The 26,261-nt window shown below is 38.5% G+C and overlaps 15 annotated features.

Moving 5' to 3' along the window:
* Positions 1,988-2,740: an enhancer, noted in NCBI's record as "OCT4-NANOG-H3K27ac-H3K4me1 hESC enhancer chr2:92300655-92301407 (GRCh37/hg19 assembly coordinates)". NCBI's record gives its function as "activates a minimal SCP1, AML or CMV promoter by ChIP-STARR-seq in primed H9 embryonic stem cells {active_cell/tissue: H9 hESC(primed)}" and the evidence as "EXISTENCE:reporter gene assay evidence [ECO:0000049][PMID:30033119]".
* Positions 4,570-5,490: an enhancer, noted in NCBI's record as "OCT4-NANOG-H3K27ac-H3K4me1 hESC enhancer chr2:92297905-92298825 (GRCh37/hg19 assembly coordinates)". NCBI's record gives its function as "activates a minimal SCP1, AML or CMV promoter by ChIP-STARR-seq in naive and primed H9 embryonic stem cells {active_cell/tissue: H9 hESC(naive and primed)}" and the evidence as "EXISTENCE:reporter gene assay evidence [ECO:0000049][PMID:30033119]".
* Positions 5,491-6,411: an enhancer, noted in NCBI's record as "OCT4-NANOG-H3K27ac-H3K4me1 hESC enhancer chr2:92296984-92297904 (GRCh37/hg19 assembly coordinates)". NCBI's record gives its function as "activates a minimal SCP1, AML or CMV promoter by ChIP-STARR-seq in naive and primed H9 embryonic stem cells {active_cell/tissue: H9 hESC(naive and primed)}" and the evidence as "EXISTENCE:reporter gene assay evidence [ECO:0000049][PMID:30033119]".
* Positions 6,412-7,332: an enhancer, noted in NCBI's record as "OCT4-NANOG-H3K27ac-H3K4me1 hESC enhancer chr2:92296063-92296983 (GRCh37/hg19 assembly coordinates)". NCBI's record gives its function as "activates a minimal SCP1, AML or CMV promoter by ChIP-STARR-seq in naive and primed H9 embryonic stem cells {active_cell/tissue: H9 hESC(naive and primed)}" and the evidence as "EXISTENCE:reporter gene assay evidence [ECO:0000049][PMID:30033119]".
* Positions 7,333-8,254: an enhancer, noted in NCBI's record as "OCT4-NANOG-H3K27ac-H3K4me1 hESC enhancer chr2:92295141-92296062 (GRCh37/hg19 assembly coordinates)". NCBI's record gives its function as "activates a minimal SCP1, AML or CMV promoter by ChIP-STARR-seq in naive and primed H9 embryonic stem cells {active_cell/tissue: H9 hESC(naive and primed)}" and the evidence as "EXISTENCE:reporter gene assay evidence [ECO:0000049][PMID:30033119]".
* Positions 10,705-11,220: an enhancer, noted in NCBI's record as "OCT4-NANOG hESC enhancer chr2:92292175-92292690 (GRCh37/hg19 assembly coordinates)". NCBI's record gives its function as "activates a minimal SCP1, AML or CMV promoter by ChIP-STARR-seq in naive and primed H9 embryonic stem cells {active_cell/tissue: H9 hESC(naive and primed)}" and the evidence as "EXISTENCE:reporter gene assay evidence [ECO:0000049][PMID:30033119]".
* Positions 12,019-12,640: an enhancer, noted in NCBI's record as "OCT4-NANOG-H3K27ac-H3K4me1 hESC enhancer chr2:92290755-92291376 (GRCh37/hg19 assembly coordinates)". NCBI's record gives its function as "activates a minimal SCP1, AML or CMV promoter by ChIP-STARR-seq in naive and primed H9 embryonic stem cells {active_cell/tissue: H9 hESC(naive and primed)}" and the evidence as "EXISTENCE:reporter gene assay evidence [ECO:0000049][PMID:30033119]".
* Positions 12,641-13,262: an enhancer, noted in NCBI's record as "OCT4-NANOG-H3K27ac-H3K4me1 hESC enhancer chr2:92290133-92290754 (GRCh37/hg19 assembly coordinates)". NCBI's record gives its function as "activates a minimal SCP1, AML or CMV promoter by ChIP-STARR-seq in naive and primed H9 embryonic stem cells {active_cell/tissue: H9 hESC(naive and primed)}" and the evidence as "EXISTENCE:reporter gene assay evidence [ECO:0000049][PMID:30033119]".
* Positions 18,151-18,848: an enhancer, noted in NCBI's record as "OCT4-NANOG-H3K27ac-H3K4me1 hESC enhancer chr2:92284547-92285244 (GRCh37/hg19 assembly coordinates)". NCBI's record gives its function as "activates a minimal SCP1, AML or CMV promoter by ChIP-STARR-seq in naive and primed H9 embryonic stem cells {active_cell/tissue: H9 hESC(naive and primed)}" and the evidence as "EXISTENCE:reporter gene assay evidence [ECO:0000049][PMID:30033119]".
* Positions 18,849-19,548: an enhancer, noted in NCBI's record as "OCT4-NANOG-H3K27ac-H3K4me1 hESC enhancer chr2:92283847-92284546 (GRCh37/hg19 assembly coordinates)". NCBI's record gives its function as "activates a minimal SCP1, AML or CMV promoter by ChIP-STARR-seq in naive and primed H9 embryonic stem cells {active_cell/tissue: H9 hESC(naive and primed)}" and the evidence as "EXISTENCE:reporter gene assay evidence [ECO:0000049][PMID:30033119]".
* Positions 19,559-20,500: an enhancer, noted in NCBI's record as "OCT4-NANOG hESC enhancer chr2:92282895-92283836 (GRCh37/hg19 assembly coordinates)". NCBI's record gives its function as "activates a minimal SCP1, AML or CMV promoter by ChIP-STARR-seq in naive H9 embryonic stem cells {active_cell/tissue: H9 hESC(naive)}" and the evidence as "EXISTENCE:reporter gene assay evidence [ECO:0000049][PMID:30033119]".
* Positions 20,501-21,442: an enhancer, noted in NCBI's record as "OCT4-NANOG hESC enhancer chr2:92281953-92282894 (GRCh37/hg19 assembly coordinates)". NCBI's record gives its function as "activates a minimal SCP1, AML or CMV promoter by ChIP-STARR-seq in naive H9 embryonic stem cells {active_cell/tissue: H9 hESC(naive)}" and the evidence as "EXISTENCE:reporter gene assay evidence [ECO:0000049][PMID:30033119]".
* Positions 21,491-22,012: an enhancer, noted in NCBI's record as "OCT4-NANOG-H3K27ac hESC enhancer chr2:92281383-92281904 (GRCh37/hg19 assembly coordinates)". NCBI's record gives its function as "activates a minimal SCP1, AML or CMV promoter by ChIP-STARR-seq in naive and primed H9 embryonic stem cells {active_cell/tissue: H9 hESC(naive and primed)}" and the evidence as "EXISTENCE:reporter gene assay evidence [ECO:0000049][PMID:30033119]".
* Positions 22,013-22,535: an enhancer, noted in NCBI's record as "OCT4-NANOG-H3K27ac hESC enhancer chr2:92280860-92281382 (GRCh37/hg19 assembly coordinates)". NCBI's record gives its function as "activates a minimal SCP1, AML or CMV promoter by ChIP-STARR-seq in naive and primed H9 embryonic stem cells {active_cell/tissue: H9 hESC(naive and primed)}" and the evidence as "EXISTENCE:reporter gene assay evidence [ECO:0000049][PMID:30033119]".
* Positions 22,536-23,058: an enhancer, noted in NCBI's record as "OCT4-NANOG-H3K27ac hESC enhancer chr2:92280337-92280859 (GRCh37/hg19 assembly coordinates)". NCBI's record gives its function as "activates a minimal SCP1, AML or CMV promoter by ChIP-STARR-seq in primed H9 embryonic stem cells {active_cell/tissue: H9 hESC(primed)}" and the evidence as "EXISTENCE:reporter gene assay evidence [ECO:0000049][PMID:30033119]".

Raw genomic sequence — 26,261 nt, 5'->3', positions numbered from 1 at the left:
GATGCTTCTGTCGAGATTTTATATGAAGATATCCCGTTTCCAACGAAATCCTCAAAGCTGTCAAAATATCCCCTTGCAGAGTCTACAGAAAGAGTGTTTCAAGAGTGCTCTCTCAAAAGAAAGGTTCAACCCTGTTAGTTGAGTACACAGATCACAACCTGGTTTCTGAGAATTTTTCTGCCTAGTTTATATGGGAAGATATTTCCTTTTTCACAAAATGTCACAAAGCACTCCAAATGTCCACTTCCATATACTACAAAATCTTGTGTTCACACCTGCTTTATGAAAGGGAATGTTCAACACCGGGACTTGAAAGCAATCCCCACAGAGATTTTTCTGAGAATGCTTCTGTCTAGGTTTTGTATGGACATATTCCCGTTTCCAACGAAATCCTCTAAGCTATCCAAATATCCACTTGCAGACTCTACAAAAAGAGTGTTTCAAAACTGCTCTATCAAAAGAAAGATTCAACTCTGTTAGTTGAGTACACACATTCCAAGCAAGTTTTGGAGACTGCTTCCATCTAGTTTTTATGCGAAGATATTTCCTATTTCACCATAGGCCTCAACGTGATCTAAATGTGCATCTCCAGATACTACAAAAAGAGTGTTTCAATGCTGCTCTATGAAAGGGGATGTACAACTCTCTGACTTCAATGCAAACATCCCAAAGGTGTTTCTGCGAAGGCTTCTGTCTAGATTTTATATGAAGATATTCCCTTTTCCAAGGAAATCCTCAAAGCTATCCAAATATCCACCTGCAGATTCTCCAAAAAGACTGTTTCAAAACTGCTCTATCAAAAGAAAGGTTCAACTCTGTTAGTTGAGTAAACACATCACAACGTAGATTCTGAGAATGCTTCTGTGTAGTTTTTGTGGCAAGATATTTCCTTTTTCACCTTACGCCTCAAAGCGATCAAAACGTCCACTTCCAGATACTACAAAAAGAGTGCTTCAAACCTGCTCTGTGAAAGGGAGTGATCAACTGTGTGACTCGAACGCTAACATCCCAAAGAGGTTTCTGAGAATGCTTGTGTCTCGATTTCATATGAAGATTTTCCCGTTTCCAACGAAATCCTCAAAGCTGTCCAGATAGCCACATGCAAATTCTACAAAAAGAGTGTTTCAAAACTGCTCTATCAAAAGAAAGGTTCAACTCTGGTAGTTGAGCACACACATCACAAACTAGTTCATGAGAATACTTCTGTCTAGTTTTTATGCGAAGATATACCTTTTTCACCGCAGGCCTCAAAGCGATCCAAATGTCCACTTCCAGATTCCACAAAAAGAATGTTTCAAACCTGCTCTATGAAAAGGAGCGTTCAACTCTGTGACTTGAATGCTAACACCCCAAAGACGTTTCTGAGAATGCTTCTGTCTATATTTTATGTGAAGATATTCCCGTTTCCAAAGAAATCCTCAAAGCTTTCCAAATATCCACAGGCAGATTCTAAAAAAAGAGTGTTTCAAAACCGCTCTATGAAAAGAAAGGTTCAGCTCTGTTAGTTAACCGCACACATCACAAAGTAGTTTATGAGAATGCTTCTGTCTAGTTTTTATTCGAAGATATTCCCTTTTTCACCGTAGGCCTCAATGCGATCCAAATGTCTACTTCCAGATTCCACAAAAAGAGTGTTTCAAACCTGCTCCATGAAAGGGAAAGTTCAACTCTGTGACTTGCATGCAAACATCCCAAAGAAAGATGTTTCTGAGAATGCTTCTGTCGAGATTTTATATGAAGATATCCCGTTTCCAACGAAATCCTCAAAGCTGTCCAAATATCCCCTTGCAGAGTCTACAAAAAGAGTTTTTCAAGCGTGCTCTCTCAAAAGAAAGGTTCAACCCTGTTAGTTGAGTACACACATCACAACCTGGTTTCTGAGAATGCTTCTGCCTAGTTTATATGGGAAGATATTTCCTTTTTCACAATAAGTCACAAAGCACTCCAAAAGTCCAGTTCCATATACTACAACATCCTGTGTTCACACCTGCTTTATGAAAGAGAATGTTCAACACTGGGACTTGAATGCAATCCTCACAGAGATTTTTCTGAGAATGCTTCTGTCTAGGTTTTGTATGGACATATTCCCGTTTCCAACGAAATCCTCTAAGCTATCCAAATATCCACTTGCAGACTCTACAAAAAGAGTGTTTCAAAACTGCTCTATCAAAAGAAAGGTTCAACACTGTTAGTTGAGGGCGCACATCACAAATAAGTTTCTGAGAATGCTTCTGTCTAGTTTTCAGGAGAACATATTTCCTTTTTCACCATAGGCCTGAAAGCGCTCCAAATGTCCACATCCAGATACTACAAAAAGAGTGTTTCAAAGCTGCTCTATGAAAGGGAATGTTAAACTCTGTGACTTGAATGCAAACATCGCAAAGATGTTTCTGGGAATGCTGCTGTCTGCTTTTTATTTGTAATCCCGTTTCCAACGAAATCCTCAATGCTAGACAAATATCGACTTGCAGATTCCAGAAAAAGAGTGTTTCAAAATTGCTCTTTCAAAACGATGGTTCAATTCTGTTAGTTGAGTACACACATCACAAATAAGTTTCAGAGAATGCTTCTGTCTAGTTTTTATGAGAGGATATTTCCTTTTTCAACACAAGCCGGAATGTGCTCCAAATGGACAGCTTCCAGACATGACAAAAGGCGTGTTTCAAACCTGCTCTCTCAAATGGAATGTTCAACACTGGGACTTCAATGGAAACATCACAAAGAAGTTTCTGAGACTGCTGCCGTCTGCTTTTTAAATGTATTCCCGTTTCCAACGAAATCCTCAGAGCCAGCCAAATATCCACTTGCAGATTCTACAAAAAGAGTGTTTCAAAACCGCTCAATGAAAAGAAAGGTTCAGCTCTGTTAGTTAAGCACACACATCACAAACTAGTTTATGAGAATGCTTCTGTCTAGTTTTTATTCGAAGATATTCCCTTTTTCACCGTAGGCCTCAATGCGACCCAAAGGTCCCCTTCCAGATTCCACAAAAGAGTGTTTCAAACCTGCTCCATGAAAGGGAATGTTCAACTCTGTGACTTGAATGCAAACATCCCAAAGATGTTTCTGAGGATGCTTCTGTCGAGATTTTATATGAAGATATCCCGTTTCCAACGAAATCCTCAAAGCTGTCAAAATATCCCCTTGCAGAGTCTACAAAAAGAGTGTTTCAAGAGTGTTCTCTCAAAAGAAAGGTTCAACCCTGTTAGTTGTGTACACAGATCACAAACTGCTTTCTGAGAATGCTTCTGCCTAGTTTATATGGGAAGATACTTCCTTTTTCACAATAGGTCACAAAGCACTCCAAATGTCCACTTCCATATACTACAAAATCTTGTGTTCACACCTGCTTCATGAAAGGGAATGTTCAACACTCGGACTTGAATGCAATCCTCACAGAGATTTTTCTGAGAATGCTTCTGTCTAGGTTTTTTATGGACATATTCCCGTTTCCAACGAAATCCTCTAAGCTATCCAAATATCCACTTGCAGACTCTACAAAAAGAGTGTTTCAAAACTGCTCTATCAAAAGAAAGATTCAACTCTGTTAGTTGAGTACACACATTCCAAGCAAGTTTTGGAGACTGCTTCCGTCTAGTTTTTATGCGAAGATATTTCCTATTTCACCATAGGCCTCAACGTGATCTAACTGTGCATCTCCAGATACTACAAAAAGAGTGTTTCAAAGCTGCTCTATGACAGGGAATGTACAACTCTCTGACTTCAATGCAAACATCACAAAGGTGTTTCTGCGAAGGCTTCGGTCTAGATTTTATATGAAGATATTCCCTTTTCCAAGGAAATCCTCAAAGTTATCCAAATATCCACCTGCAGATTCTCCAAAAAGAGTGTTTCAAAACTGCTCTATCAAAAGAAAGGTTCAACTCTGTTAGTTGAGTAAACACATCACAACGTAGTTTCTGAGAATGCTTCTGTGTAGTTTTTGTGGCAAGATATTTCCTTTTTCACCTTACGCCTCAAAGCGATCAAAACGTCCACTTCCAGATACTACAAAAAGAGTGCTTCAAACCTGCTCTATGAAAGGGAGTGATCAACTGTGTGACTCGAACGCTAACATCCCAAAGAGGTTTCTGAGAATGCTTGTGTCTCGATTTCATATGAAGATTTTCCCGTTTCCAACGAAATCCTCAAAGCTGTCCAGATAGCCACATGCAAATTCTACAAAAAGAGTGTTTCAAAACTGCTCTATCAAAAGAAAGGTTCAACTCTGGTAGTTGAGCACACACATCACAAACTAGTTCCTGAGAATACTTCTGTCTAGTTTTTATGCGAAGATATACCTTTTTCACCGCAGGCCTCAAAGCGATCCAAATGTCCACTTCCAGATTCCACAAAAAGAATGTTTCAAACCTGCTCTATGAAAAGGAGCGTTCAACTCTGTGACTTGAATGCTAACACCCCAAAGACGTTTCTGAGAATGCTTCTGTCTATATTTTATGTGAAGATATTCCCGTTTCCAAAGAAATCCTCAAAGCTTTCCAAATATCCACAGGCAGATTCTAAAAAAAGAGTGTTTCAAAACCGCTCTATGAAAAGAAAGGTTCAGCTCTGTTAGTTAACCGCACACATCACAAAGTAGTTTATGAGAATGCTTCTGTCTAGTTTTTATTCGAAGATATTCCCTTTTTCACCGTAGGCCTCAATGCGATCCAAATGTCTACTTCCAGATTCCACAAAAAGAGTGTTTCAAACCTGCTCCATGAAAGGGAAAGTTCAACTCTGTGACTTGCATGCAAACATCCCAAAGAAAGATGTTTCTGAGAATGCTTCTGTCGAGATTTTATATGAAGATATCCCGTTTCCAACGAAATCCTCAAAGCTGTCCAAATATCCCCTTGCAGAGTCTACAAAAAGAGTTTTTCAAGCGTGCTCTCTCAAAAGAAAGGTTCAACCCTGTTAGTTGAGTACACACATCACAACCTGGTTTCTGAGAATGCTTCTGCCTAGTTTATATGGGAAGATATTTCCTTTTTCACAATAGGTCACAAAGCACTCCAAATGTCCAGTTCCATATATTACAACATCTTGTGTTCACACCTGCTTTATGAAAGGGAATGTTCAACACTGGGACTTGAATGCAATCCTCACAGAGATTTTTCTGAGAATGCTTCTGTCTAGGTTTTGTATGGACATATTCCCGTTTCCAACGAAATCCTCTAAGCTATCCAAATATCCACTTGCAGACTCTACAAAAAGAGTGTTTCAAAACTGCTCTATCAAAAGAAAGGTTCAACACTGTTAGTTGAGGGCGCACATCACAAATAAGTTTCTGAGAATGCTTCTGTCTAGTTTTCAGGGGAAGATATTTCCTTTTTCACCATAGGCCTGAAAGCGCTCCAAATGTCCACATCCAGATACTACAAAAAGAGTGTTTCAAAGCTGCTCTATGAAAGGGAATGTTCAACTCTGTGACTTGAATGCAAACATCACAAAGAAGTTTCTGGGAATGCTGCTGTCTGCTTTTTATATGTAATCCCGTTTCCAACGAAATCATCAAAGCTAGACAAATATCCACTTGCAGATTCCACAAAAAGAGTGTTTAAAAACTGCTCTCTCAAAAGAAAGGTTCAACTCTGTTAGCTGAGCAGATACATCATGAAAAAGTTTCTGACATTGCTTCTATCTAGCTTTTATTGGAAGATATTTCCTTTTTCACTGTAGTCCTGAGAGCGCTCCAAATGTCCACTTCCAGATACTACAAGAAGAGTGTTTCAAACCTGCTCTATGACAGGGAATGTTCAACACTGTGACTTCAATTAAAACATCCCAAAGAAATTTATGAGAATGCTTCTGTCTAGAGTTTATATGAAGACAATCCCGTTTCCAACGAAATCCTCAAAGCTATCCAAATATCCTCTTGCAGATTTTACAAAAAGAGTGTTTCAAAACTGCTCTATCAAAAGAAAGGTTCAACACTGTTACTTGAGGGCGCACATCACAAATAAGTTTCTGAGAATGCTTCTGTCTAGTTTTCAGGGGAAGATATTTCCTTTTTCACCATAGGCCTGAAAGCGCTCCAAATGTCCACATCCAGATACTACAAAAAGAGTGTTTCAAACCTTCTCTATGAAAGGGAATGTTCAACTCTGTGACTTGAATGCAACCGTCACAAAGAAGTTTCTGGGAATGCTGCGGCCTGCTTTTTATATGTAATCCCGTTTCCAACGAAATCCTCAAAGCTAGACAAATATCCACTTGCAGATTCCACAAAAAGAGTGTTTCCAAACTGCTCTTCCACAACGATGGTTCAATTCTGTTAGTTGAGTACACACATCACAAATAAGTTTCTGAGAATGCTTCTATCTAGTTTTTATGGGAGGATATTTCCTTTTTCAAGACAAGCCGGAATGCGCTCCAAATGGACAACGTCCAGATATGACAAAAGGCGTGTTTCAGACCTGCTCTATTAAAGGGAATGTTGAACTCTGGGACTTCAATGCAAACATGACAAAGAAGTTTCTGACAATGCTGCTGTCTGCTTTTTATATGGATTCCCGTTTCCAACGAAATCCTCCAAGCTGGCCTAATATCCACTTGCATATTCCCCAAAAAGAGTGTTTTAAAACTGGTCTCTCAAAAGAAAGGTTCAACTCTGTTAGCTGAGTAGATACATCATGAAAAATTTCTGACATTGCTTCTATCTAGCTTTTATTGGAAGATATTTCCTTTTTCACAGTAGTCCTGAGAGCGCTCCAAATGTCCACTTCCAGATACTACAAAAAGAGTGTTTCAAACCTGCTCTATGAAAGGGACTGTTCAACACTGTGACTTCAGTTGAAACATCACAATGAAGTTTCTGAGAAAGCTTCTGTCTAGAGTTTATATGAAGACAATCCCGTTTCCAACGAAATCCTCAAAGCTATCCAAATATCTTCTTGCAGATTTTACAAAAAGTGTGTTTCAAAACTGCTCTATCAAAAGAAAGGTTCAACACTGTTAGTTGGGGGCGCACATCACAAATAAGATTCTGAGAATGCTTCTGTCTAGTTTTCAGGGGAAGATATTTCCTTTTTCACCATAGGCCTGAAAGCGCTCCAAATGTCCACATCCAGATACTACAAAAAGAGTGTTTCAAACCTGCTCTATGAAAGGGAATGTTAAACTCTGTGACTTGAATGCAAACATCACAAAGAAGTTTCTGGGAATGCTGCTGTCTGCTTTTATATGTAATCCCGTTTCCAACGAAATCCTCAATGCTAGACAAATATCGACTTGCAGATTCCAGAAAAAGAGTGTTTCAAAATTGCTCTTTCAAAACGATGGTTCAATTCTGTTAGTTGAGTACACACATCACAAATAAGTTTCAGAGAATGCTTCTGTCTAGTTTTTATGAGAGGATATTTCCTTTTTCAACACAAGCCGGAATGTGCTCCAAATGGACAGCTTCCAGACATGACAAAAGGCGTGTTTCAAACCTGCTCTATCAAATGGAATGTTCAACACTGGGACTTCAATGGAAACATCACAAAGAAGTTGCTGAGAATGCTGCCGTCTGCTTTTTAAATGTATTCCCGTTTCCAACGAAATCCTCAGAGCCAGCCAAATATCCACTTGCAGATTCTACAAAAAGAGTGTTTCAAAACCGCTCAATGAAAAGAAAGGTTCAGCTCTGTTAGTTAAGCACACACATCACAAACTAGTTTATGAGAATGCTTCTGTCTAGTTTTTATTCGAAGATATTCCCTTTTTCACCGTAGGCCTCAATGCGACCCAAAGGTCCCCTTCCAGATTCCACAAAAAGAGTGTTTCAAACCTGCTCCATGAAAGGGAATGTTCAACTCTGTGACTTGAATGCAAACATCCCAAAGATGTTTCTGAGGATGCTTCTGTCGAGATTTTATATGAAGATATCCCGTTTCCAACGAAATCCTCAAAGCTGTCCAAATATCCCATTGCAGAGTCTACAAAAAGAGTTTTTCAAGCGTGCTCTCTCAAAAGAAAGGTTCAACCCTGTTAGTTGAGTACACACATCACAACCTGGTTTCTGAGAATGCTTCTGCCTAGTTTATATGGGAAGATATTTCCTTTTTCACAATAGGTCACAAAGCACTCCAAATGTCCACTTCCATATACTACAACATCTTGTGTTCACACCTGCTTCATGAAAGGGAATGTTCAACACTGGGACTTGAATGCAATCCTCACAGAGATTTTTCTGAGAATGCTTCTGTCTAGGTTTTGTATGGACATATTCCCGTTTCCAACGAAATCCTCTAAGCTATCCAAATATCCACTTGCAGACTCTACAAAAAGAGTGTTTCAAAACTGCTCTATCAAAAGAAAGATTCAACTCTGTTAGTTGAGTACACACATTCCAAGCAAGTTTTGGAGACTGCTTCCGTCTAGTTTTTATGCGAAGATATTTCCTATTTCACCATAGGCCTCAACGTGATCTAACTGTGCATCTGCAGATACTACAAAAAGAGTGTTTCAAAGCTGCTCTATGACAGGGAATGTACAACTCTCTGACTTCAATGCAAACATCACAAAGGTGTTTCTGCGAAGGCTTCGGTCTAGATTTTATATGAAGATATTCCCTTTTCCAAGGAAATCCTCAAATCTATCCAAATATCCACCTGCAGATTCTCCAAAAAGAGTGTTTCAAAACTGCTCTATCAAAAGAAAGGTTCAACTCTGTTAGTTGAGTAAACACATCACAACGTAGTTTCTGAGAATGCTTCTGTGTAGTTTTTGTGGCAAGATATTTCCTTTTTCACCTTATGTCTCAAAGCGATCAAAACGTCCACTTCCAGATACTACAAAAAGAGTGCTTCAAACCTGCTCTATGAAAGGGAGTGATCAACTGTGTGACTCGAACGCTAACATCCCTAAGAAGTTTCTGAGAATGCTTGTGTCTCGATTTCATATGAAGATTTTCCCGTTTCCAGCGAAATCCTCAAAGCTGTCCAAATATCCACATGCAAATTCTACAAAAAGAGTGTTTCAAAACTGCTCTATCCAAAGAAAGGTTCAACTCTGGTAGTTGAGCACACACATCACAAACTAGTTCATGAGAATACTTCTGTCTAGTTTTTATGCGAAGATATACCTTTTTCACCGCAGGCCTCAAAGCGATCCAAATGTCCACTTCCAGATTCCACAAAAAGAGTGTTTCAAACCTGCTCTATGAAAAGGAACGTTCAACTCTGTGACTTGAATGCTAACACCCCAAAGACGTTTCTGAGAATGCTTCTGTCTAGATTTTATGTGAAGATATTACGGTTTCCAACGAAATCCTCAAAGCTTTCCAAATATCCACATGCAGATTCTACAAAAAGAGTGTTTCAAAACCGCTCTATGAAAAGAAAGGTTCAGCTCTGTTAGTTAAGCACACAGATCACAAACTAGTTTATGAGAATGCTTCTGTCTAGTTTTTATTCGAAGATATTCCCTTTTTCACCGTAGGCCTCAATGCGATCCAAATGTCTACTTCCAGATTCCACAAAAAGAGTGTTTCAAACCTGCTCCATGAAAGGGAATGTTCAACTCTGTGACTTGAATGCAAACATCCCAAAGATGTTTCTGAGGATGCTTCTGTCGAGATTTTATATGAAGATATCCCTTTTCCAACGAAATCCTCAAAGCTGACAAAATATCCCCTTGCAGATTCTACAAAAAGAGTGTTTCAAGAGTGCTCTCTCAAAAGAAAGGTTCAACCCTGTTAGTTGAGTACACACATCACAAACTGGTTTCTGAGAATTCTTCTGCCTAGTTTATATGGGAAGATATTTCCTTTTTCACAAAAGGTCACAAAGCACTCCAAATGTCCACTTCCATATACTACAAAATCTTGTGTTCACACCTGCTTTATGAAAGGGAATGTTCAACACCGGGACTTGAATGCAATCCTCACAGAGATTTTTCTGAGAATGCTTCTGTCTAGGTTTTGTATGGACATATTCCCGTTTCCAGCAAAATCCTCTAAGCTATCCAAATATCCACTTGCAGACTCTACAAAAAGAGTGTTTCAAAACTGCTCTATCAAAAGAAAGATTCAACTCTGTTAGTTGAGTACACACATTCCAAGCAAGTTTTGGAGACTGCTTCAATCTAGTTTTTATGCGAAGATTTTCCTATTTCACCATAGGCCTCAAAGCGATCTAAATGTCCATCTCCAGATACTACAAAAAGAGTGTTTCAAAGCTGCTCTATGTAAGGGAATGTAGAACTCTCTGACTTCAATGCAAACATCGCAAAGGTGTTTCTGCGAATGCTTCTGTCTAGATTTTATATGAAGATATTCCCTTTTCCACGGAAAACCACAAAGCTATCCCAATATCCACCGGCATATTCTCCAAAAAGAGTGTTTCAAAACTGCTCTATCAAAAGAAAGGTTCAACTCTGTTAATTGAGTAAACACATCACAACGTAGTTTCTGAGAATGCTTCTGTGTAGTTTTTGTGGCAAGATATTTCCTTTTTCACCTTACGCCTCAAAGCGATCAAAACGTCCACTTCCAGATACTACAAAAAGAGTGCTTCAAACCTGCTCTATGAAAGGAGGGATCAACTGTGTGACTTGAACGCTGACATCCCAAAGAGGTTTCTGAGAATGCTTGTGTCTCGATTTCATATGAAGATTTTCCCGTTTCCAACGAAATCCTCAAAGGTGTCCAAATAGCCACATGCAAATTCTACAAAAAGAGTGTTTCAAAACTGCTCTATCAAAAGAAAGGTTCAACTCTGGTAGTTGAGCACACTCATCACAAGCTAGTTCGTGAGAATAATTCTGTCTAGCTTTTATGCGAAGGTATACCTTTTTCTCCGCAGGCCTCAAAGCGATCCAAATGTCCACTTCCAGATTCCACAAAAAGAGTGTTTCAAACCTGCTCTATGAAAAGGAACGTTCAACTCTGTGACTTGAATGCTAACACCCCAAAGACGTTTCTGAGAATGCTTCTGTCTAGATTTTATGTGAAGATATTCCCGTTTCCAAAGAAATCCTCAAAGCTTTCCAAATATCCACAGGCAGATTGTACAAAAAGAGTGTTTCCAAACCGCTCTATGAAAAGAAAGGTTCAGCTCTGTTAGTTAACCACACACATCACAAAGTAGTTTATGAGAATGTTTCTGTCTAGTTTTTATTCGAAGATATTCCCTTTTTCACCGTAGGCCTCAATGCGATCCAAATATCCACTTCCAGATTCCACAAAAAGAGTGTTTCAAACCTGCTCCATGAAAGGGAAAGTTCAACTCTGTGACTTGCATGCAAACATCCCAAGGATGTTTCTGAGGATGCTTCTGTCGAGATTTTATATGAAGATATCCCGTTTCCAACGAAATCCTCAAAGCTGTCCAAATATCCCCTTGCAGAGTCTACAAAAAGAGTTTTTCAAGCATGCTCTCTCAAAAGAAAGGTTCAACCCTGTTAGTTGAGTACGCACATCACAAACTGGTTTCTGAGAATGCTTCTTCCTAGTTTATATGGGAAGATATTTCCTTTTTCACAATAGGTCACAAAGCACTCCAAATGTCCAGTTCCATATACTACAAAATCTTGTGTTCACACCTGCTTTATGAAAGGGAATGTTCAACACTGGGACTTGAATGCAATCCTCACAGAGATTTTTCTGAGAATGCTTCTGTCTAGGTTTTGTATGGACATATTCCCGTTTCCAACGAAATCCTCTAGGCTATCCAAATATCCACTTGCAGATTCTACAAAAAGAGTGTTTCAAAACTGCTCTATCAAAAGAAATGTTCAACACTGTTACTTGAGGGCGCACATCAAAATAAGTTTCTGAGAATGCTTCTGTCTAGTTTTCAGGGGAAGATATTTCCTTTTTCACCATAGGCCTGAAAGCGCTCCAAATGTCCACATCCAGATACTACAAAAAGAGTGTTTCAAACCTGCTCTATGAAAGGGAATGTTCAACTCTGTGACTTGAATGCAAACATCACAAAGAAGTTTCTGGGAATGCTGCTGTCTGCTTTTTATATGTAATCCCGTTTCCAACGAAATCCTCAAAGCTAGACAAATATCCACTTGCATATTCCACAAAAAGAGTGCTTCAAAGCTGCTCTCTCAAAAGAAAGGTTCAACTCTGTTAGCTGAGCAGATACATCATAAAAAAGTTTCTGACATTGCTTCTATCTAGCTTTCATTGGAAGATATTTCCTTTTTCACGGTAGTCCTGAGAGCGCTCCAAATGTCCACTTCCAGATACTACAAGAAGAGTGTTTCAAACCTGCTCTAACAAAGGGAATGTTCAACACTGTGACTTCAATTGAAACATCCCAAAGAAATTTCTGAGAATGCTTCTGTCTAGAGTTTATATGAAGACAATCCCGTTTCCAACGAAATCCTCAAAGCTATCCAAATATCCTCTTGCAGATTTAACAAAATAGTGTTTCAAAACTGCTCTATCAAAAGAAAGGTTCAACATTGTTAGTTGAGGGCACACATCACAAATAAGTTTCTGAGAATGCTTCTGTCTAGTTTTCAGGGGAAGATATTTCCTTTTTCACCATAGGCCTGAAAGCGCTCCAAATGTCCACATCCAGATTCTACAAAAAGAGTTTTTCAATCCTGCTCTATGAAAGGGAATGTTCAACTCTGTGACTTGAATGCAAACATCACAAAGAAGTTTCTGAGAATGCTGCGGCCTGCTTTTTATATGTAATCCCGTTTCCAACGAAATCCTCAAATCTAGCTAAATATGCACTTGCAGATTCCACAAAAAGAGTGTTTCAAAACTGCTCCTTCAAAACGATTGTTGAATTCTGTTAGTTGAGTACACACATCACAAATAAGTTTCTGAGAATGCTTCTGTCTTGTTTCTATGGGAAGGTATTTCCTTTTTCAACACAAGCCTGAATGCACTCCAAATGGACACTTCCAGATATGACAAAAGGCGTGTTTCCAACCTGCTCTATGATACGGAACGTTCAACTCTGTGACTTGAATGCAAACATCATAAAGACGTTTCTCACAACGCTGCTGTCTGCTTTTTGTATGTATTCCCGTTTCCAACGAAATCCTCAAAGCCAGCAAAATATCCACTTGCAGATTCCACAAAAAGAGTGTTAAAAAACTGTTCTGTCAAAAGAAATATTCAACTCTGTTATTTGAGGACACAACTCAGAAACTAGTTTCAGAGAATGCTTCTGTCTAGTTTTTATGGGAAGATATTTCCTTTTTCAACATAGCCCTGAAAGCGCTACAAATGTCCACTTCCAGATACTACAAAAAGAGTGTTTCAAACCTGCTCCATGAAAGGGACTGTTCAACACTGCGACTTCAATAGAAACATCCCAATGAAGTTTCTGAGAATGCTTCTGTCTAGAGTTTATATGAAGACAATCCCGTTTCCAACGAAATCCTCAAAGCTGTCCAAATATGTTCTTGCAGATTTTACAAAAAGAGTGTTTCAAAACTGCTCTATCAAAAGAAAGGTTCAACACTGTTAGTTGAGGGCGCACATCACAAATAAATTTCTGAGAATGCTTCTGTGTAGTTTTTGAGGCAAGATTTTTCCTTTTTCACCTTACGCCTCAAAGCGATCAAAACGTCCACTTCTAGATACTACAAAAAGAGTGCTTCAAACCTGCTCTATGAAAGGGAGTGATCAACTCTGTGACTCGAACGCTAACATCCCAAAGAGGTTTCTGAGAATGCTTGTGTCTCGATTTCATATGAAGATATTCCCGTTTCCAACGAAATCCTCAAAGCTGTCCAAATATCCACATGCAAATTCCACAAAAAGAGTGTTTAAAAACTGCTGTATCAAAAGAAAGGTTCAACTCTGGTAGTTGAGCACACACATCACAAACTAGTTCATGAGAATACTTCTGTCTAGTTTTTATGCGAAGATACACCTTTTTCACCGTAGGCCTCAATGCGATCCACATGTCCACTTCCAGATTGCACAGAAAGAATGTTTCAAACCTGCTCTATGAAAAGGAACGTTCAAATCTGTGACTTGAATGCTGACACCCCAAAGACGGTTCTGAAAATGCTTCTGTCTAGATATTATGTGAAGATATTCCAGTTTCCAACGAAATCCTCAAAGCTGTCAACGTATCCCCTTGCAGAGTCTACAAAAAGAGTGTTTCAAGAGTGCTCTCTCAAAAGATAGGTTCAACCCTGTTAGTTGAGTACACACATCACAAACCGGTTTCTGAGAATGCTTCTGCCTAGTTTATATGGGAAGATATTTCCTTTTTCACCATAGGTCACAAAGCACCCCAAATGTCCAGTTCCATATACTACAAAATCTTGTGTTCACACCTGCTTTATGAAAGGGAATGTTCAACACTGGCACTTGAATGTAATCCTCACAGAGATTTTTCTGAGAATGCTTCTGTCTAGGTTTTGTATGGACATATTCCCGTTTCCAACGAAATCCTCTAAGCTATCCAAATATCCACTTGTAGACTCTACAAAAAGAGTGTTTCAAAACTGCTCTATCAAAAGAAAGATTCAACTCTGTTAGTTGAGTACACACATTCCAAGCAAGTTTTGGAGACTGCTTCCGTCTAGTTTTTATGCGAAGAGATTTCCTATTTCACCATAGGCCTCAAAGCGATGTAAATGTCCATCTCCAGATACTACAAAAAGAGTGTTTGAAAGCTGCTCTATGAAAGGGAATGTACAACTCTCTGACTTCAATGCAAACATCACAAAGGTGTTTCTGCGAAGGCTTCTGTCTAGATTTTATATGAAGATATTCCCTTTTCCAAGGAAATCCTCAAAGCTATCCAAATATCCACCTGCAGATTCTCCAAAAAGAGTGTTTCAAAACTGCTCTATCAAAAGAAAGGTTCAACTCTGTTAGTTGAGTAAACACATCACAACGTAGTTTCTGAGAATGCTTCTGTGTAGTTTTTGTGGCAAGATATTTCCTTTTTCATCTTACGCCTCAAAGCAATCAAAACGTCCACTTCCAGATACTACAAACAGAGTGCTTCAAAGCTGCTCTATGAAAGGGAGTGATCAACTGTGTGACTCGAACGCTAACATCCCAAAGAGGTTTCTGAGAATGCTTGTGTCTCGATTTCATATGAAGGTTTTCCCGTTTCCAACGAAATCCTCAAAGCTGTCCAAATATCCACATGCAAATTACACAAAAAGAGTGTTTAAAAACTGCTCTATCAAAAGAAAGGTTCAACTGTGGTAGTTGAGCACACACATCACAAACTAGTTCATGAGAATACTTCTGTCTAGTTTTTATGCGAAGAAATACCTTTTTCACCACAGGCCTCAAAGCGATCCAAATGTCCACTTCCAGATTCCACAAAAAGAGTGTTTGAAACCTCCTCTATGAAAAGGAACGTTCAACTCTGTGACTTGAATGTTAGCACCCCAAAGACTTCTCTGAGAATGCTTCTGTCTAGATTTTATGTGAAGATTTTCCCGTTTCCAACGAAATCCTCAAAGCTTTCCAAATATCCACATGCAGATTCTACAAAAAGAGTGTTTTAAAACCGCTCTATGAAAAGAAAGGTTCAGCTCTGTTAGTTAAGCACACACATCACAAACTAGTTTATGATAATGCTTCTATCTAGTTTTTATTCGAAGATATTCCCTTTTTCACCGTAAGCCTCAATGCGATCCAAATGTCCACTTCCAGATTTTACAAAAAGAGTTTTTCAAACCTGCTCCATGATAGGGAGTGTTCAACTCTGTGACTTGAATGCAAACATCCCAAAGATGTTTCTGAGGATGCTTCTGTCGAGATTTTATATGAAGATATCCCGTTTCCAACGAAATCCTCAAAGCTGTCCAAATATCCCATTGCAGAGTCTACAAAAAGAGTGTTTCAAGAGTGCTCTCTCAAAAGAAAGGTTCAACCCTGTTAGTTGAGTACTCACATCACAATCTGGTTTCTGAGAATGCTTCTGCCTAGTTTATATGGGAAGATATTTCCTTTTTCACAATAGGTCACAAGGCACTCCAAATGTCCAGTTCCATATACTACAAAATCTTGTGTTCACACCTGCTTTATGAAAGGGAATGTTCAACACTGGGACATGAATGCAATCCTCACAGAGATTTTTCTGAGAATGCTTCTGTCTAGGTTTTGTATGGACATATTCCCGTTTCCAACGAAATCCTCTAAGCTATCCAAATATCCACTTGCAGACTCTACAAAAAGAGTGTTTCAAAACTGCTCTATCAACAGAAAGATTCAACTCTGTTAGTTGAGTACACACATTCCAAGCAGTTTTGGAGACTGCTTCCGTCTAGTTTTTATGCGAAGATATTTCCTATTTCACCATAGGCCTCAAAGCGATCTAAATGTCCATCTCCACATACTACAAAAAGAGTGTTTCAAAGCTGCTCTATGAAAGGGAATGTACAACTCTCTGACTTCAATGCAAACATCCCAAAGGTGTTTCTGCGAATGCTTCTGTCTAGATTTTATATGAAGATATTCCCTTTTCCAAGGAAATCCTCAAAGCTATCCAAATATCCACCTGCAGATTCTCCAAAAAGACTGTTTCAAAACTGCTCTATGAAAGGAAAGGTTCAACTCTGTTAGTTGAGTAAACACATCACAACGTAGTGTCCGAGAATGCTTCTGTGTAGTTTTTGTGGCAAGATATTTCCTTTTTCACCTTACGCCTCAAAGCGATCAAAACGTCCACTTCCAGATACTACAAAAAGAGTGCTTCAAAGCTGCTCTATGAAAGGGAGTGATCAACTCTGTGCCTCGAACGCTAACATCCCCAAAGACGTTTCTGAGAATGCTTGTGTCTCGATTTCATATGAAGATTTTCCCGTTTCCAACGAAATCCTCTAAGCTGTCCAAATATCCACATGCAAATTCTAGAAAAAGAGTTTTTCAAAACTGCTCTATCAAAAGAAAGGTTCAACTCTGGTAGTTGAGCACACACATCACAGACTAGTTAATGAGAATACTTCTGTCTAGTTTTTATGCGAAGATATACCTTTTTCACCGCAGGCCTCAAAGCGATCCAAATGTCCACTTCCAGATTCCACAAAAAGAGTGTTTCAAACCTGCTCTATGAAAAGGAACGTTCAACTCTGTGACTTGAATGCTAACACCCCAAAGACGTTTCTGAGAATGCTTCTGTCTAGATTTTATGTGAAGATATTCCCGTTTCCAACGAAATCCTCAAAGCTTTCCAAATATCCACATGCAGATTCTACAAAAAGAGTGTTTCAAAACCGCTCTATGAAATGAAAGGTTCAGCACTGTTAGTTAAGCACACACATCACAAACTAGTTTATGAGAATGCTTCTGTATAGTTTTTATTCGAAGATATTCCCTTTTTCACCGTAGGCCTCAATGCGATCCAAGTGTCCACTTCCAGATTCCACAAAAAGAGTGTTTCAAACCTGCTCCATGAAAGGGAATGTTCAACTCTGTGACTTGAATGCAAACATCCCAAAGATGTTTCTGAGGATGCTTCTGTCGAGATTTTATATGAAGATATCCCGTTTCCAACGAAATCTTCAAAGCTGTCAAAATATCGCCTTGCAGAGTCTACAAAGAGTGTTTCAAGAGTGCTCTCTCAAAAGAAAGGTTCAACCCTGTTAGTTGAGTACACACATCACAAACTGTTTTCTGAGAATGCTTCTGCCTAGTTTATATGGGAAGATATTTCCTTTTTCACAATAGGTCACAAAGCACTCCAAATGTCCAGTTCCATATACTACAAAATCTTGTGTTCACGCATGCTTTATGAAAGGGAATGTTCAACCCTGGGACTTGAATGCAATCCTCACAGAGATTTTTCTGAGAATGCTTCTGTCTAGGTTTTCTATGGACATATTCCGTTTCCAACGAAATCCTCTAAGCTATCCAAATATCGACTTGCAGACTCTACAAAAAGAGTGTTTCAAAACTGCTCTATCAAAAGAAAGACTCAAATCTGTTAGTTGAGAACACACATTCCAAGGAAGTTTTGGAGAGTGCTTCCGTCTAGTTTTTATGCGAAGATATTTCCTATTTCACCATAGGCCTCAAAGCGATCTAAATGTCCATCTCCAGATACTACAAAAAGAGTGTTTCAAAGCTGCTCTATGAAAGGGAATGTACAACTCTCTGACTTCAATGCAAACATCACAAAGGAGTTTCTGCGAAGGCTTCTGTCTAGATTTTATATGAAGATATTCCCTTTTCCAAGGAAATCCTCAAAGCTATCCAAATATCCACCTGCAGATACTCCAAAAAGTGTGTTTCAAAACTGCTCTATCAAACGAAAGGTTCAACTCTGTTAGTTGAGTAAACACATCACAACGTAGTTTCTGAGAATGCTTCTGTGTATTTTTTGTGGCAAGATATTTCCTTTTTCACCTTACGCCTCAAAGCGATCAAAACGTCCACTTCCAGATACTACAAACAGAGTGCTTCAAAGCTACTCTATGAAAGGGAGTGATCAACTCTGTGACTCGAACGCTAACATCCCAAAGAGGTTTCTGAGAATGCTTGTGTCTCGATATGAAGATTTTCCCGTTTCCAACGAAATCCTCAAAGCTGTCCAAATATCCACATGCAAATTACACAAAAAGAGTGTTTAAAAACTGCTCTATCAAAAGAAAGGTTCAACTCTGGTAGTTGAGCACACACATCACAAACTAGTTCATGAGAATATTTGTGTCTAGTTTTTATGCAAAGATATACCTTTTTCACCGCAGGCCTCAAAGCGATCCAAATGTCCACTTCCAGATTCCACAAAAAGAGTGTTTCAAACCTGCTCTATGAAAAGGAACGTTCAACTCTGTGACTTGAATGCTAACACCCCAAAGACGTTTCTGTGAATGCTTCTGTCTAGATTTTATGTGAAGATATTCCCGTTTCCAACGATATCCTCAAAGCTTTCCAAATATCCACATGCAGATTCTACAAAAAGAGTGTTTCAAAACCGCTCTATGAAAAGAAAGGTTCAGCTCTGTTAGTTAAGCACACACATCACAAACTAGTTTATGAGAATGCTTCTATATAGTTTTTATTCGAAGATATTCCCTTTTTCACCGTAGGCCTCAATGCGATCCAAATGTCCACTTCCAGATTCCACAAAAAGAGTGTTTCAAACCTGCTCCATGATAGGGAATGTTCAACTCTGTGACTTGAATGCAAACATCCCAAAGATGTTTCTGAGGATGCTTCTGTCGAGATTTTATATGAAGATATCCCGTTTCCAACGAAATCCTCAAAGCTGTCCAAATATCCCATTGCAGAGTCTACAAAAAGAGTGTTTCAAGAGTGCTCTCTCAAAAGGAAGGTTCACCCCTGTTAGTTGAGTACACACATCACAATCTGGTTTCTGAGAATGCTTCTGCCTAGTTTATATGGGAAGATATTTCCCTTTTCACAATAGGTCACAAAGCACTCCAAATGTCCAGTTCCATATACTACAAAATCTTGTGTTCACACCTGCTTTATGAAAGGGAATGTTCAACACTGGGACTTGAATGCAATCCTCACAGAGATTTTTCTGAGAATGCTTCTGTCTAGGTTTTGTATGGACATATTCCCGTTTCCAACGAAATCCTCTAAGCTATCCAAATATCCAATTGTAGACTCTACAAAAAGAGTATTTCAAAACTGCTCTATCAAAAGAGAGATTCAACTCTGTTAGTTGAGTACACACATTCCAAGCAAGTTTTGGAGACTGCTTCCGTCTAGTTTTTATGCGAACAGATTTCCTATTTCACCATAGGCCTCAAAGCGATGTAAATGTCCATCTCCAGATACTACAAAAAGAGTGTTTGAAAGCTGCTCTATGAAAGGGAATGTACAACTCTCTGACTTCAATGCAAACATCACAAAGGTGTTTCTGCGAAGGCTTCTGTCTAGATTTTATATGAAGATATTCCCTTTTCCAAGGAAATCCTCAAAGCTATCCAAATATCCACCTGCAGATTCTCCAAAAAGAGTGTTTCAAAACTGCTCTATCAAAAGAAAGGTTCAACTCTGTTAGTTGAGTAAACACATCACAACGTAGTTTCTGAGAATGCTTCTGTGTAGTTTTTGTGGCCAGATATTTCCTTTTTCACCTTACGCCTCAAAGCGATCAAAACGTCCACTTCCAGATATTACAAACAGAGTGCTTCAAAGCTACTCTATGAAAGGGAGTGATCAACTCTGTGACTCGAACGCTAACATCCCAAAGAGGTTTCTGAGAATGCTTGTGTCTCGATTTCATATGAAGATTTTCCCGTTTCCAACAAAATCCTCAAAGCTGTCCAAATATCCACATGCAAATTACACAAAAAGAGTGTTTCAAAACTGCTCTATCAAAAGAAAGGTTCAACTCTGGTAGTTGAACACACACATCACAAACTAGTTTATGAGAATACTTCTGTCTAGTTTTTATGCGAAAATATACCTTCTTCACCGCAGGCCTCAAAGCGATGCAAATGTCCACTTCCAGATTCCACAAAAAGAGTGTTTCAAAACTGCTCTATGAAAAGGAACGTTCAACTATGTGACTTGAATGCTAACACCCCAAAGACGTTTCTGAGAATGCTTCTGTCTAGATTTTAAGTGAAGATATTCCCGTTTCCAAAGAAATCCTCAAAGCTTTCCAAATATCCACATGCAGATTCTACAAAAAGAGTGTTTCAAAACCGCTCTATGAAAAGAAAGGTTCAGCTCTGTTAGTTAAGCACACACATCACAAACTAGTTTATGAGAATGCTTCTGTCTAGATTTTATTCGAAGATATTCCCTTTTTCACCGCAGGCCTCAAAGCGATCCAAATGTCCACTTCCAGATTCCACAAAAAGAGTGTTTCAAACCTGCTCCATGAAAGGGAATGTTCAACTCTGTGACTTGATTGCAAACATCCCAAAGATGTTTCTGAGGATGCTTCTGTCGAGATTTTATATGAAGATATCCTGTTTCCAACGAAATCCTCAAAGCTGTCCAAATATCCCCTTGCAGAGTGTACAAAAAGAGTGTTTCAACAGTGCTCTCTCAAAAGAAAGGTTCCGCTCTGTCAGTTGAGCCCACACATCACAAGCTAGTTTATGAGAATGCTTCTGTCTAGTTTTTATTCGAAGATATTTCCATTTTCACCATAGGCCCCAATGCGATCCAAATGTCCACTTCCAGATTGCACAAAAAGAGTGTCTCAAACCTGCTCCATGAAAGGGAATGTTCAACTCTCTGACTTGAATGCAAATATCCCAAAGATGTTTCTGAGAATGCTTCTGTCTAGATTTCATATTAAGATATTCCCGTTTCCAAAGAAATCCTCAAAGCTATCCAAATATCCCCTTGCAGAGTCTACAAAAAGAGTGTATCAAGAGTGCTCTATCAAAAGAAAGTTTCAAACCTGTTAGTTGAGTATACACATCACAAACTTGTTTCTGAAAATACTTCTACCTAGTTTTTATGGCAAGATATTCCCTTTTGACAATAGGTCACGAAGTACTCCAAATGACCAGTTCCACATACTACAAAATCAGGTTTTCATACCTGCTCTATGAAAGGGAATGTTCAACTCTGGGACTTGAATGCAATCCTCACAGAGATGTTTCTGAAAATTCTTCTGTCTAGTTTGTATATGAACATATTCCCCTTTCCAAGGAAATCCTCAAAGCTATCCCAATATCCACTTGCAGATTTTACAAAAAGAGTGTTTCAAAACTGTCTATCAAAAAAAAGATTCAACTCTGTTAGCTGAGTACACACATTCCAAACAAGTTTTGGAGATTGCTTCCGTCTAGTTTTTATGTGAAGATATTTCCTTTTTCACCATAGGTGTCAAAACGATCTAAATGTCCATTTCCACATACTACAAAAAGAGTGTTTCAGACCTGCTCTATGAAAGGGAATGTACAACTCTCTGACTTCAAGGTAAACATCACAAATTTGCTTCTGAGAATGCTTCTGTCTAGATTTTATATGAAGATAGTCCCGTTTCCAAGAAATCCTCAAAGCTCTCCAAATATCCTCTTGCAGATTCTACAAAAAGAGTGTTTCAAAACTGCTCTATCAAAAGAAATGTTCAACTCTGAAGTTGAGTAAACACATCACAAAGTAGTTTCTGAGAATGCTTCTGTGTAGTTTTTGTGGGAAGATATTTCCTTTTTCACCTTAAGCCTGAAAGCAATCCAAATGTCCACTTCCAGACACTACAAAAAGAGTGTTTCAAACCTGCTCTATGAAAGGGAATGTTCAACTCTGTGACTCGAATGCTAACATCCCAAAGAGATTCCTGAGAATGCTTGTCTCGATTTCATAGGAAGATTTCCAGGTTTCCGACAAAATCCTCAAAGTTGTACAAATATTCACATGCAAATTCTACAAAAAGAGTGTTTCAAAACCGCTCTATCAAAAGAAATGTTGAAATCTGTTAGTTGAGAACACACATCACAAACTAGTTTATGAGAATACTTCTGTATAGTTTTTATGCGAAGATATTCCCTTTTTCACCACACGCCTCAAAGCGATCCAAAAGTCCACTTCCAGATGCAACAAAAAGAGTGTTTCAAACCTGCTCTATGTATGGGAATATTCAACTCTGTGACTTGAAGGCTAATATCCCAAAGATGTTTCCGAGAATGCTTTTGTCTAGATTTTATAGGAAGATATTCCCTTTTCCAAAGAAATCCTCAAAACTTTCCAAATATCCACATGCAGATTCCACAAAAAGAGTGTTTCAAAACTACTCTATGAAAAGAAAGGTTCAGCTCTGTTAGTTGAGCACACACATCACAAACTGCTTTATGAGAATGCTTCTGTCTAGTTTTTATTCGAGGATATTCCCTTTTTCACCATAGGCCCCAATGCGATCCAAATGTCCACTTCCAGATTGCACAAAAAGGGTGTTTTCAACCTGCTCCATGAAAGGGAATGTTCAACTCTGTGACTTGAATGCAAACATCCCAAAGATGTTTCTGAGAATCGTCTGTTTAGATTTTATATGAAGATATTGCCGTTTCCAAGGAAATCCTCAAAGCTATCCAAATATCCACTTGCAGACTCTACAAAAAGAGTGTTTCTAGAGTGCTCTCTCAAAAGAAGGGTTCAACCCTGTTAGTTGAGTACACACATCACAAACTGGTTTCTGAGAATGCTTCTGCCAATTTTTTATGGGAAGATATTTCCTTTTTCACAATAGGACACAAAGCACTCCAAATGTCCAGTTCCACACACTACAAAATCATGATTTCATAACTGCTCTATGAAAGGGAATGTTCAACTCTGGGACTTGAATGCAATCCTCACAGAGATGTTCCTGAGAATGCTTCTGTCTATATTTTATATGAACATATTCCCATTCCCAACGAAATCCTCAAAGCTATACAAAAATATCCACTTGCAGATTCTACAAAAAGAGTGTTTCAAAACTGCTCTATCAAAAGAAAGATTCAACTCTGTTAGTTGAGTACACAGATTCCAAACAAGTTTTGGAGACTGCTTCCATCTATTTTTTTTGCGAAGATATTTCCTTTTTCACCATAAGCCTCAAAGGGATCTAAATGTCCATTTCCAGATACTACAAAAAGAGTGTTTCAAAGCTGCTCTATGAAAGGGAATGTACAACTCTCTGACTTGAATGCAAACATCACAGAGTTGTTTCTGAGAATGCTTCTCTCTAGATTTTATATGAAGATATTATCGTTTCTGAGGAAATCCTCAAAGCTATCAAAATATCCACTTGCAGATTCTATAAAAAGAGTGTTTCAAGAGTGGTCTATCAAAAAAAAGGTTCACCTCTGTTAGTTGAGTAAACACATCACAAAGTAGTTTCTGAGAATACTTCTGTGTAGTTTTTGTGGGAAGATATTTCCTTTTTCACCTTTTGCCTCAAAGCGATCAAAATGTCCACTTCCAGATATACAAAAAGAGTGTTTCAAACCTGCTCTATGAAAGAGAATGTTCAACTCTGCGACTGGAATGCTAACATCCCAAAGAGGTTTCTGAGAATGCTTGTGTGTCCATTTCATATGCAGATTTTCCCGATTCCAACGACATCCTCAATGCTGTCCAAATATCCACATGCAAATTCTACAAAAAAAGTGTTTCAAAACTGCTCTATCAAAAGAAAGGTTCAACTCTGTTAGTTGAGCACACACATCACAACCTAGTTTATGAGAATACTTCTGTCTAGTTTTTATGCGAAGATATTCCCTTTTTCACCACAGGCCTCAAAGCGATCAAAATGTCTACTTCCAGATTCCACAAAAAGAGTGTTTCAAACCTGCTCTATGAAAGGGAATGTTCAACTCTTTGACTTGAATGCTAACACCCCAAAGATGTTTCTGAGAATGCTTCTATCTAGATTTTATAAGAAGATATTCGCGTTTCCAACGAAATCCTCAAAACTTTCCAATATCCACAGGTAGATTCTAAAAAAAGAGTGTTTCAATACTGCTTTATGAAAAGAAACGTTCAGCTCTGTTAGTTGAGCACACACACCACAAACTAGATTATGAGAATGCTTCTCTCTAGTTTTTATTCGAAGATATTCCTTTTTTCACCGCAGGCCTCAATGCGATCCAAATGTCCACGTCCAGTTTCCACAAAAAGAGTTTTGCAAACCTGCTCCATGATAGGGAATGTTCAACTCCTTGACTTGAATGCAAAAATCCCAAAGATGTTTCTGAGAATGCTTCTGTCTAGATTTTATACGAAGATATTCACGTTTCTAACGAAATCCTCAAAGCTATCCAAATACCCCTTGCAGAGTCTACAAAAAGAGTGTTTCAAGAGTCCTCTCTCAGAAGAAATGTTCAACCCTGTTAGTTGTGTACACATATCACAAACTGGTTTCTGAGAATGCTTCTGCCTAGTTTTTATGGGAAGATATTTCCTTTTTCACACTAGGCCACAAAGCACTCCAAATGTCTAGTTCCACATACTACAAAATCATGATTTCATAACTGCTCTATGAAAGGGAATGTTCAACTCTGGGACTTGAATGCAATCCTCACAGAGATGTTCCTGAGAATGCTTCTGTCTATATTTTATATGAACATATTCCCATTCCCAACGAAATCCTCAAAGCTATACAAAAATATCCGCTTGCAGATTCTACAAAAAGAGTGTTTCAAAACTGCTCTATCAAAAGAAAGATTCAACTCTGTTAGTTGAGTACACACATTCCAAACAAGTTTTGGAGACTGCTTCCGTCTATTTTTTATGCGAAGATATTTCGTTTTTCACCATAAGCCTCAAAGGGATCTAAATGTCCATTTCCAGATACTACAAAAAGAGTGTCTCAAACCTGCTCTATGAAAGGGAATGTACAACTCTCTGACTTGAACGCAAACATCACAGAGTTGTTTCTGAGAATGCTTCTCTCTAGATTTTATATGAAGATATTATCGTTTCTGAGGAAATCCTCAAAGCTATCAAAATATCCACTTGCAGATTCTATAAAAAGAGTGTTTCAAGAGTGGTCTATCAAAAAAAAAGGTTCACCTCTGTTAGTTGAGTAAACACATCACAAAGTAGTTTCTGAGAATACTTCTGTGTAGTTTTTGTGGGAAGATATTTCCTTTTTCACCTTTCGCCTCAAAGCGATCAAAATGTCCACTTCCAGATATACAAAAAGAGTGTTTCAAACCTGCTCTATGAAAGAGAATGTTCAACTCTGCGACTGGAATGCTAACATCCCAAAGAGGTTTCTGAGAATGCTTGTGTGTCCATTTCATATGCAGATTTTCCCGATTCCAACGACATCCTCAATGCTGTCCAAATATCCACATGCAAATTCTACAAAAAGAGTGTTTCAAAACTGCTCTATCAAAAGAAAGTTTCGACTCTGTTAGTTGAGCACACACATCACAACCTAGTTTATGAGAATACTTCTGTCTAGTTTTTATGCGAAGATATTCCCTTTTTCACCACAGGCCTCAAAGCGATCAAAATGTCTACTTCCAGATTCCACAAAAAGAGTGTTTCAAACCTGCTCTATGAAAGGGAATGTTCAACTCTTTGACTTGAATGCTAACACCCCAAAGATGTTTCTGAGAATGCTTCTATCTAGATTTTATAAGAAGATATTCGCGTTTCCAACGAAATCCTCAAAGCTTTCCAAATATCCACAGGTAGATTCTAAAAAAAGAGTGTTTCAATACTGCTTTATGAAAAGAAACGTTCAGCTCTGTTAGTTGAGCACACACACCACAAACTAGATTATGAGAATGCTTCTCTCTAGTTTTTATTCGAAGATATTCCTTTTTTCACCACAGGCCTCAATGCGATCTAAATGTCCACGTCCAGTTTCCACAAAAAGAGTTTTGCAAACCTGCTCCATGATAGGGAATGTTCAACTCCTTGACTTGAATGCAAAAATCCCAAAGATGTTTCT

This window comes from Homo sapiens, chromosome 2 (genome assembly GCF_000001405.40).
Source record: "Homo sapiens chromosome 2, GRCh38.p14 Primary Assembly".
NCBI lineage: Eukaryota > Metazoa > Chordata > Mammalia > Primates > Hominidae > Homo > Homo sapiens.
The sequence above is the reverse complement of the archived record's forward strand: the minus strand, read 5'-3'. Positions and strand labels throughout refer to the sequence as shown.